Source organism: Homo sapiens, chromosome 2, assembly GCF_000001405.40.
Source record: "Homo sapiens chromosome 2, GRCh38.p14 Primary Assembly".
Lineage (NCBI taxonomy): Eukaryota > Metazoa > Chordata > Mammalia > Primates > Hominidae > Homo > Homo sapiens.
This window is the reverse complement of record NC_000002.12, coordinates 42310236-42322358: the sequence shown is the minus strand read 5'-3', so window position 1 is coordinate 42322358 and position 12123 is coordinate 42310236. Positions and strand designations below refer to the sequence as shown.

At 39.6% G+C, this 12123-nt stretch overlaps 1 protein-coding gene across 8 annotated transcripts in view; it reads right to left on the bottom strand.

Moving 5' to 3' along the window:
• Nucleotides 1–12123, bottom strand: part of EML4 (EMAP like 4) — a 163196-nt gene that overhangs the window by 10190 nt on the left and 140883 nt on the right. For all 8 annotated transcript variants that reach the window (XM_047443953.1, XM_006711992.3, NM_001410776.1 and 5 more), the window contains 2 exons: nt 6309–6397; nt 4835–4932 (listed from right to left, as the gene is read on the bottom strand). In XM_047443953.1, the coding sequence (XP_047299909.1) occupies nt 4835–4932; nt 6309–6397 (187 nt within the window). The remainder of the gene's footprint in view (nt 1–4834; nt 4933–6308; nt 6398–12123) is intronic.

The following is a 12123-nucleotide window of genomic DNA, read 5'->3' as shown; positions in this document are numbered from 1 at the left end:
CTGTATCAGTGCAGTCCAATGCAGTAGCAACTAGTCCCCTGTGGTTTCTAAGTAACTGAAACGTTGCTGCACTCTCAGGGAACTGAATTGCCTTTAATGATATGAACAGAAAGTTGTGGCTAGTAATTGCCATATTGGAAAATACAGGTAGAGAAGTCTATTCTTTCTCTACTGATTTGAAATACCGTTTTTATTACTTAGTAAACTTCATAAAAACATAAATCTGTTCCTGGATGCTTTTCTGTTCCATCAGTCTATCTGCTTATTCCCAACCATGATAGTTCTGTGATACGTGGAAAATTTCAGATGAACTAGAACTATTTTATTAATCCCATAAATATGTTGAAAATCTGAAGATCATATCAAACTTAGAGAAGTTTGTAGAAAACATATCTTTATCAGGTTATCTAGAAACATGCTATGTCTAATTCTTTCAGATCTTAGTTATGTCTTTCAGCAATGTTTCACACAGCTTCCTGTGCTTTTGTTGCTATGTTTATTCTCAAAGCATCTAGTTTTTGTTGCTATTGTGAATGCATTTTTTCTCCCACATTTTTGATATGCGTTTGCTGGTTTGAGGAAAAGTGGTCTTTACCTAGTGACTAGAGTGTAGCCTGCTAGTTGCCTCTCCAATCCACATTATCCCCCTTCTGTTGAGTGACCAGCTAGAACACTATTATTTCCCAGCTCCTTTGAAGTTAGGGGTGGCAGAAGTCATTGTGTGGGGCTTCCAGGAAAACTCTGAGAACTGACTTAGTGGAAGGAGTGCTCTTTTGTCACTTGCTCTAATCCCTTCTGCTTGGAACTAGGTGATGATGGCTGGAGTTCCAGCAGCATGTTATGATGTTGAGGATGGAAGCAACATACTAATAAGATGGCTTAGAAAGAAAGGATCCGAGTTCTTGATGGCCTCTTTTAAATGAGACCATATCCCTGATGTGTTCAAGTGAATAGGTACTACTTTTTTTTTATTTTTTCAGATGTGAGTCTCGCTGTCGCCCAGGCTGGAGTGCAGTGGCGCCATCTTGGCTCACTGCAAGCTCCGCCTCCCGGGTTCATGCCATTCTCCTGCCTCAGCCTCCCAAGTAGCTGGGACTACAGGCACCCGCCACCACGCCCGGCTAATTTTTTGTATTTTTAGTAGAGATGGGGTTTCACCGTGTTAGCCAGGATGGTGTAGATCTCTTGACCTTGTGATCCGCCCGCCTTGGCCTCCCAATGTGCTGGGATTACAAGTGTGAGCCACAGCACCCGGCCTGGTACTACACATAATTCTTAACCGTCACAGTGATACTGAATTCTATTACCTTACTGAAATCCTGCATTAACTTCAGGATTTATTTTCTTGGCGATTTCTAGGTAGATAAAGTGTTTACTCTTTTTTTCCCCCTCTTTTTGATGTGTATTTCCAATTAACCAAATCCTGGCAAAAAAGCAAACTTACTTTTACCAGCACTTCTTGCCTACTCCAAGAGATTTTGTAATGCTTTTTAGGATATCACTGCAACTTAAATATACTGTCTCCTGGGCTAAGATCTTCGAGTAACAGTGTTAAAAGGTACACAGGAATTTGAGTCAAGCAGAAAGCCATTATGTTGACACTCAGGTACATAATAAAACAACCTTAATATTCCACTGAAAACTGAGTAGAAACTTTAGGTCAATCAGGACACTTAAAATCTTTCAAGGAAAATACACAATGCTCATCATTGTAAAACTATTTTTGAATTTTAATAGATTACTGTTAAATGCTGAAAAATACCCGTAGGTACAACCCAGGCTCATCTAGTCATGGAAAATAATGCTAATAATAATACCTAATATTTACTAAGTACCTTGCATACATCATCACATCTAAATCTCATGGCAACCTTAATGAGGATGTCCACTTAGTAGGTGAGATGGTTAGGATGCATAGATAGGTTAAGTAACTTTTCTGAAGTTACTTAACAAAAAATTGGTGTACCCAGGGTTCAAAACTAGGTCAGATGACTCTGGAGCAAATTAAGCACAGCTTTTTTTTTTTTTTTAAAATACAGACAGGGTCTTGGTTAATTGCCCAGGCTGGTGTCAAACTCCTGGACTCCAGTGACCCTCCCATCTTGGCCTCCCAAAGTGCTGGGATTACAGGTGTGAGTAATAATAAGCTTGTTTCTTAGCTTATGAAGTTGAGAGCAAGGCCCTGGACTATAATGATGTCATCATTCATTAAGGGACCCATGCATCAGCTAGCTGCCCTCTACCAAGAAGTGCTGTTTCACATCATTGGGTACCAGCCATCTTTTCAACTGACATTTCCACATAAAGAGAGCTACTGTGAAGAGAGACTCCAAATGCATATAACTTATAATTTGTTAGATTGTAAGTTATAAGATTTACTTTATTATTTTTATTAGAGACATTTATAATTTACAGACATTTAATTAGAGATATCATAGTTTATTAGTGACACTTCCTAAAGCTCTAAGCGTACTGTGCTTCTGCAGCTATAACAGTCACCTAAATGTTGAGTAGTTAACAGGAAAATTACTAGAAACAGAAAATAGCATTTGTATTTGGAACTTTGAGAGTAGTTCTAGTTGTTATGTTTTAAAAAGACCTCATCTTTACAACAATGCTATAAAGTACGAACTATTATAAACTCCAGTTTTAAGATAATAAAATTAAAACTCTGAGAAGTTAACTTGCCTAAAGTCACAAACTAGTAAGCAGCAGAGACAGTGTTGACCCAGTTTTGCCTGTCCTATATAACAGCAGACAATAGATAAAAGCAGGGGACTGACTATAAGACCAGCCGGTGGAAATAGGCAGCAAGAACTGAAAGCTAGAAGCAAAGCACAAAACCGAAGACAATTAGGAACGCAGAATAGTTGAACCTTTCATTACAACCTCAAACGGTACTGCAAACTTTTAACAGTTCCTATGGGTATCTCAAATTAATACTTTCTTCAAACGCTTCAAAGAACTGCCTAACTGGATTAGGACAAGTCTCATGCATTTGACAAACTTGCCATTTCTCAATACTTCCAAGTCATTCTGATTATTCCATGTCACACATTGCTCTCTCTTCTGGATCAGTTGTACAGTAAAATAAGACACGAAATGAAAAACCTGAGGCATTACTGTACATTGGAAAGTCGGCTCTACTAAGAGTTAGTAGAATTGTGTTCAAGTCCTTGATCTGCCATTACGTCACAAGATGACACCAATGACAAGTCATTAATCTTCTCTGAAAAGTGGGCTAAGTGCTACAGGGCTACCTGTAAAATCTTGATTCTACAAGATTAAGTCATATTTGATATACTGTTTATTAAGGTATGGACTTTTTTTTTAAAAAAGGTTGAGATTAAAAACCGGACAGGTGCAGTGGCTCATGCCTAATCTCATCACTTCGGGAGGCTGAGGTGGGAGGACTGCTTGAGGCCAGGAGTTTGAGACCAGCCTGGACAACATAGGGAGACCTCAGCTCTATGAAAAATTAAAAAAGTGAGCCGGGCAAGGTGGCACACACCTATGGTGCCAGCTAGTCAGGAGGCTGAGGCAGGAGAATTGCTTCAGCCCAGGAGTTTGAGGCACTGCACTCCAGCCTGGGTGACAGAGTAAGACCCTGTCTCAAAAGTGAAAACAAGATTAAAAAAACAGAAAACAAAACAAAACAAAAAAAATTGGGGGTCTGGTAGGGTAAACTTCAGTGATCTGAAAACTTCTTTTGGTGGAATATCTCATTTAATCATGTTGTGTACTATTCCATAAGACAAACATTAAGTTGATAAATTAAAAGATAGATTTAAATAAATTAATGGATAATGATTCATTATTGTCAAGGCAAACAAAAATATTTTGGACAAATTCTAAACTCTGAAGTTGTTTGTAGACTAGTTTACAAATGGACTCTGGTTTTAATATATGGTATAAAATATGCAAAAAGGCAAATAAGTCTGCTTCCTCAAATAGTACATGGCCTAGTTTTTGCTTAAATATAATAAGCAAAATAAATTTCAGACCCATATTGAAGTTTATTTTGCTTATTACAAGATGTATATGCTTCTAAAAACTAATTCTTTTATCTGTTTCCCTAAAATGAACTGTTTTGTGGTAAAGAGTGTTAAAGAATTCAAATTCAGGTAGTCTGGCTCAGAGTCTGTGCTCTTAACCACTGTGCTACACTGCCTACCTTTCTCTTCCTGGCCTGAGTTGGACTGTACTTCTTGAGGACAAAGGAACACATGTTGTACATATTCCTGGTGCCTAAGCCATTTTGTTTGCTAGGGGAATACCTGCTGTACATTCAGTACTTGTCATGCTTACAGAAATTTAATCCAATTTTCATTCTATAATTATAACCCAATTAAGGCAGAAGTAGGCAATAAATTACAGGAAACATCCTTTCTGTTAACTCTCTTAAATGCAGACAAATATCCATATACATTCTTTTATTTTCAGTGGCAGAGAAGTGATATAGGATGTTGTAGGGTGTTGAGGTGGGCAGAATCATAGGAGTTAAGATTAAACATGAGATGTTCTTTTATTTCTGACTCATTCAATTTTCAAAAAGTGTTATTCTAAAGGTTTCCTATGGAAATAGCTTTAAGAAACTGTTTTAAAACTAGTCACAGAGTGACAAATATTACACCCCCATCAAAAGGAGATGTCTTTTTAGAGCACACAGGGAACTCTGATGTTCTGCTATCATGTATTACCAGTTCCAGTTTTCAAAGACAGAGATTAAAGCAGCTAACGACAGGAAACAACACACACATCGATGTAAAAATTTGTTTTTAACGGAAGTAAAATTTCCCAATAATTTTACAACTTGTTCTACTTCACTACTTACAGTGCACCTTCCATATCTGCTATATTTTCTTCCATTTTCAGAGACTACATAGAGGTAAATAAAGTTGTCATGAGATCCTACAGCCAGGAAGGTACCATCTAGAATAAAATAGGTCAGTGTTGACTAGAGAAATATACTGATAAATTTATTTACTGTTATTTTACTGATTTTACAAATGCTGTTAAATCTCATCAATTTAACTATTTGGCAATTAATGAATGAATCCTATCCACTAAGTACATTTGAAAAATAAATGGTCATCCAGTCTAATACACAATCCCTTCTTGGAGATGCTTACAGGCCTTGGACTCTAGGCCTCATCTTCTAGTTAGTTGAAAACCGGCTCCAGAGGTTATCCTGCCTTCTTGGGTGGAAGGGTACAGTGTTTACATGGCAGGCTGAGTGGACAGGGGCTTAGTTCATCTAGCATATATGATCTGTCCAATTACAGAACAGGTGCTCTTGGGAAGACACCATATTCCTTTCTTTTGTGGTGTCCTTCCCTGTACCCACCACAGTGCTAAGCATGTAACAAATGGTCAATAAAGTCCACGTCATCTCTGGAATTCGACAGCTATATTTGCAGTGGTTATTTGCTACTACAACACTAAAAAACAATAAAACAAAACAAACCCCAGAAAAATGTTAAAATTTTTGTGCTTCATGAGGACTCAAAAGGCTTATAGCTTAAAGTACATACTTTTCCTTCCTTGTTCAATTTAAAGAATACTACTCTCTGTGCTTCCTTTGAAACAACTGAGAAGCAATCAAAAAGATTCTCTGGATCCTGTGCTAATGCAACAACTATTGGCATATATTTTCAAATAAAGACAATGTCAGACTAACTCCAGGGAAGAGTGGTGTGAATCAAAGCTACATTAATAACAAGAAAAGGTAACTGGAGTATTATCACAGAAACTTAATATTGTGAATAAAGTACAAATAATTATTCTCAAGCAGGCTAAAGGAATATATCAAATTCTTATAGAGAATTGCTAAGTATTTAATTAACAAACCAATCATTACTATGTAACCGAAACAATGCACTAGATTCTAAAGGACTTGAAGGGCCTATACAATTTGCGTATTTTGAATTTCGCTGTAATTTCTTTTACATTCTCTTATAAATAAAGAAAAGCTTGCTAACCAGATGTGACATTTAGCCTAATACCTATTCAAAATTCTAAGTATGTGTAGTTCCGGAAAAAGGGGATCTGACTGCACTTTATTCTGCTTTCAATTGCAAATGCAGCTGTCCATTTTAAATTTGATGATTCAGAATGTTGTTTAAACTTCAGCAGATCTTTTGCAGTTTCTGGCAGCAGAATTTAATTTGATGTTGGGGGAAACAGATTTAATACTTAACAACTCTAAAGAGAGAAAAAAGTAGTCAGCCTTATTAGAAGTAAAACTATGCAATTGCAGTGAAGTGCTGTGAATGCCATGCTTGGGAGGTGGGAGTAAATTTGCCTACCTATTGAGTAGCGCATCACAGAGAGCTGTTCATTCCCGTCTGTGTGGATAGAAACTAGATCTCTGGTTTCTGCATCCAGAACAAACCACCTGTTAAGAAGTAAAAATCAAAATTTTCTTCAGATATTAGCATTTATAGAAAAAAAAAGTTGTTCTTTTTCTTTTTTTTTTGAGATGGAGTCTTGCTTTGTCATAACGCTGGTGTGCATGGAGTGATCCTAGCTCACCACAGCCTTGAACTTCTGGGCTCACACTATCCTCCCACACCTCAGCCTCCTGAGTTGCTGGGACTACAGGTGCATACCACCGTGCCTGGCTAATTTTTAATTTCTTTTTTGATTTTAGAGATGGGGTCTTACTATGTTATCTGGGCTGGCCTTAAACTCCTGGCCTCAAGCAGTCCTCCCACCTCAGCCTCCCAAAGTAATGAGATTACGGGCATGTGCCACTGTGCCCAGACAGGTCTATTTTTTTACTTTTAAGAATTTTTAATAATGGTCCTTAAGTATGATATGTTTTCTTCTTCTAATGAAGGATAAATTCATTTAGCAAAATGCTGCTAGATAAAATATACATAAATATACATGGGCCTAGACATATTCTCATGTCTATTTGGGTATTCATTGACTGCCATTCCTGTCTCTTTGCTAGGCACTGTTTAAATAGAAAACAGAAATACAGGATCAGTGTTCTTGAAGAAGACACTAAGTTGGGAGAAAGGAAATGAGTCAATTGAAACAAAGAATGAAGAAATGCCAACCTCAGTGATGGTGACGCAATATAACAGAGGAACTCATAGGAAGAAAATGAATGATAGCAGCAGAAAAACATCCTTAGGGAAGATGTAAGATGTGGGCTGAGCTGAACACTGAGGGAATGTTCAGACATTTTAGGCAGGAGGAACAGCAGCTGTATAGCTAAGGAGGTGGGAAAAACCATGGACAATATGAAGGTGTGAGGGAACAGTAGCAAGCCATTCATTTGGTGTGATTCAAAAGAACCAGCAGGGAGAACTCTCCTCCCTGAGACCTCCAACACTTGCACAGGGAAGCTCTAAATTTTTTGAAAGAGGTATCTTTTCATTCACATTTATAGGAAAAGTCAAAATGTAAATGCCTCTTGAGACGTAAAACAACGACTTAAATCCAACTACATTATAAATCACTATTATCAGACCTTTTTCCTAAAAGTATTTGAAGGAAAGGATGGGTACTTCAGAAGAGCGTGGTAAGACCAGGGATATAAAGCAAAGATGGGAACCATGGACAGACAAACTTAAGGCTGCATAAGAGAGAGGATGGCAGCATGCACAGCTGGTTGGAAGAATTCAGAGTTGAGCACTGCCCAGATCAGAGTAGGCACTAAATATCTGCAGAATGAATAAGTGAACAAATACATTAAAAGTAAGTCTTGAACATGACAAAAACCAAATTTTGGCAAGAGGTATTTAATAGTAGTGCAGTGTGCAGGAAGAAAATGGATGGGATGGAAAAAACAGGACAAGACTAGAAAAACAAAATCACTACTTATTGGCCTTTAAACTCAAGTATTCACATATAAATTCTGTTTCTCTTACCTGAGTAGATGACAGAATTAGGTTAGCTGCCTAAAAGTTTCAGCCCATAGCTTACAAGTTACTAAAAATTCATTCATGAACTGAACAGGGCAAAAAAAGCAGCAATTTTTTTTTTTTAGACGGAAGCTTGCTTTCATCCCCCAGGCTGGAGTGCAGTGGCACGATCTTGACTCACTGCAACCTCCGCCTCCTGGGTTCAAGCGATTCTCATGCCTCAGTCTCTCGAGTAGCTGGGATTACAGGTGGGCGCCACCACACCCAGCTAATTTTTGTATTTTTAGTAGAGACAGGGTTTTACCATGTTGGCCAGGCTGGTCTCGAACTCCTGACCTCAGGTGATCTGCCCGCCTCAGGCTCCCAAAGTGCTGGGATTATAGGCATGAGCCACCATGCCCGGCAAGTTTTTATTTTTAATCTTTATTTTTTACCTGCTCCTACCATCTGAGTCAAGTTTCATTTTTAATTATTCAGATGGAAAAAATTCCACCACTAATGTAAGCCAATAAAAAGAATCGTGATGGTAGGCTTTTTTTTTTTTTGAGACGGAGTCTCACTCTGTCACCCAGACTGGAGTGGATGGAGTGGTGTGGCACTATCTCGGCTCACTGCAACCTCCGCCTCCGGGTTCAAGCGATTCTCGTGTCTCAGCCTCCCAAGTAGCTGGGACTACAGGCGTGTGCCACCACGCCCAGATAATTTTCTGTATTTTTAGTAGAGATAGGGTTTCGCCGTGTTGATCAGGCTGGTCTTGAACTCCTGACCTCAGGTGATCCCCTCGCCTTGTCCTCCCAACGTGCTGGGATTACAGGCATGAGCCACTGTATCCGGCCAATAAGTTTCTTTTCATTTTAAAGCACTATAACTAATATCTGGGAAAGGGACCATTTCCCTCTTAAATTAAAAGAAATATTTAGAAGAGAGAAAAGGGCTTGAAGGATTTTTTTTTTTTAAAGCTTAGTGGTATGGTTTAACGTGGCTTAGTGCATTCAAGGTAGAATTGAAGACTCAAAGATACCAATTTTTTACCTTGTCTACAAAGAGTCAAACTCTGTAAAATATTTGAAGAGATTTATTCTGAGCCAAATATGAGTGACCATGGCCCATGGTGAGAGAGCTCTCAGAGAACATGTGGCCAAGGTGGTCGAGGCACAGCATAGTTTTATACATTTAAGGGTGATATGAGACATCAATCAAATACATGTTAAGATATACATTGGTTTAGCCAGGCGCGGTGGCTCATGCCTGTAATCCCAGCACTTTGGGAGGCCGAGGCAGGCGGATCACGAGGTCAGGAGATCGAGACCATCCTGGCATCCTGGCTAACCCGGTGAAACCCCATCTCTACTAAGAATATAAAAAATTAGCCAGGCATGGTAGCAGGCGCCTGTAGTCCCAGCTACTTGGAAGGCTGAGGCAGGAGAATGGCGTGAACGCAGGCGGTGGAGCTTGCCGCAAGCTGACATGGCACCACTGCACTCCAGCCTGGGTGACAGAGCGAGACTCCATCTCAAAAAAAAAAAAAAAAAAAAGATATACATTGGTTCAGTAGGGAAAGGCAGGACAACTTGAAGGTAGGTGGGGGCTTCCAGGTTATAGGCAGATTTAAAAGTTTTCTGACAGGCAGGCCAGGCGCAGTGGCTCATGCCTGTAATCCCAGCACTTTCAGAGGCCGAGGTGAGTGGATCACGAGGTCAGGAGATCGAGCCCACCCTGGCTAACAAGGTGAAACCCCATCTCTAGTAAAAATACAAAAAATTAGCCAGGCATGGTGGCACGCGCCTGTAGTCCCAGCTACTTGGGAGGCTGAGGCAGAAGAATCATTTAAACCCGGGAGGTGGAGGTTGCAGTGAGCCGAGATTGCGCCACTGCACTCCAGCCTGGGCGACAGAGCAAGACCCCGTCTAAAAAAAAAAAAAAATTCTGATTGGCAATTGGTTATTATCAGTAGAAAGGAATTGTCTGGGTTATGATATGGGGTTGTGGAGACCAAAGTTTTATTGTGCAGATGAAGTCTTTAGGTAGGCTTCAGAGAGAATAGACTGTAAATGTTTCTTATCAGACTTAAGGGCTGTATTAATATTAAATGTTGGTTGGCTTTTCCTGAATTCTAAGAGGTTATAACGAGGCATGACCTTCCCTTCCTGTTACGGCCTGAACCAGTTTTTCAGGTTAATTTTGGAATGCCCTGGCAGGGACGATGGTGGGGGGGGGCTTAGAATTTTATTTTTGATTTATAACCTATCAGTGAAATCTCTAACTAAACACATTCATAAATTTTAGTAATTTTGTGAGCTGTGAGCTGAAGCTTCCAGGAAGCTAACCGAATTTTGTTATCTACTCAGGTAAGGTAAATATCTTTCATATGTGAATACTTGAGTTTAAATGCTAATAAGCAGGAAAACTGGCACTTTGAAGCCACATGCTTCATGTTTACCAATTATTTTCATTTCAAAAAGTGCATAGGAAGGCCGGGCATGGTGCCTCATGTCTGCAATCCTAGCACTTTGGGAGGCCGAGGCAGGAGGATTGCTTGAACACAGGAATTCAAAACCAGACTGGTCAATGTAGCGAGACCTCATCTCTGTTTTATTTTAAAATAACATTAAAAGTAAAATATAAAATAAAAAAAGCACATAAGACATACACTTTATTGCAACTGGACAGTACCCATAGGTTATGTTTCTTCTGAGAATGTAACTCATTAACCAATTTTTATGAGTATCCCTCTGAAATTCTTCTGGGCCTAGAAATGCCAAAGCTGATGCCAAGTGCCTTTTTAGAGAAAGGGAACAAAATAATATCCCAATTCAGACTGAACTGACACACCAAAATGACAAGATACAGAACTGCTCTGTATCAGGTGAGTTTTTAATGAGTTTATGGAAACTTTATGACACTCTCATGCATTTAAAAATTATTACCATTTTTTTTTTTTGAGACAGGGTCTCGCTCTGTTGCCCAGGCTGGAGTGCAGTTTACTGCAGCCTCAACCTCCCAGGCTCTCAGGTGATCCTCCCACCTTAGCCTCCCAAGTAGCTGGGACCAAAAGCATGTGCTACCACGCCTGGCTAATTTTTTGTAGAGGAGGGGTTTTGCCATGTTGCTGGTCTCGAACTCCGAGGCTAAAGCAATCCTCCCACCTTGGCCTCCCAAAGTGCTGGGATTACAGGTGTGAGCACTGCACCAGCCCAATTTTTATTTTGGAGAAGCCCTAACTAATGCTGTTTTAAGACTGTTTCAAAGTCAGTTTAATCTTCCTAGGAAAACTATGTAATTTTATCTCTTTGGACACTCCCTGAGAATGTAATGAAACCCTAGAGTGTCTGTTTTGGTAAAATGTGTAGAAACCTAAAACTCTTAAGTCATTTACTGGTTAGAGATAGTGACTATCAAAAAAGAAACCAAAAAACCCCCACCAAAACCGTGCCTAAGTTTTCTATTTCTTTAATTATTAATACATTATTAGACACTAATTCTTCTACTTTTGGTAAATCATTTTTAGTAGTAATTCAATGTTTGTTATTAAAGATATACAACTTCCATATATAATTTTGGAGTTCTCACCCCTTTTCATTGTAAGGACTATGTTTTACCTTCAGAAAAGACTTTTGGGCTCAGAGTCTCTATCTCTAACAACAAATCCTCTAGCCAAGGGGATTTTCTACAAATTAAAAAAAAATGTTTTTTAAGTTTCACTCCTGGCTTCAAGAGATCTTCCGGCCTGGGCCTTGGGCCTGAGCCACCATGATGGCCAAATAAATATTTAAGTTTTTACTATTTCATTGTATTCTTATTCTAGTCTGGAGTATATACATTAGAACCAAGCTTCTGGCTGGGAGTGGGGGCTCATGCCTGTAATTCCAGCACTTTGGGAGGCTGAGACAAGCAGATCACTTGAGGTCAGGAGTTCAAGACCAGCTTGACCAACATGGTGAAACCCTGTCTCTACTGAAAATACAAAAATTAGCCAGGCATGGTGGTGCACGCTTGTAGTCCCAGCTACCTGGGAGGTTGAGGCATGAGAATCACTTGAACCCAGGAGGCAGAGGCTGCAAGTGAGCTGAGATTATGTCACTGCACTCCAGCCTGGGAGACAGAGCAAGACTCTGCAAAAGGGAAAAGGGAAGGGGAAGGGGAAGGAGAAGGGGAAGGGAAAGGGAAAGGGGAAGGGAAAGGGGAATGGGAAGGGAAAGGGGAAGGGGAGAAAGGAAGAAAGATCCATTAGGCCTTACAGAATCCC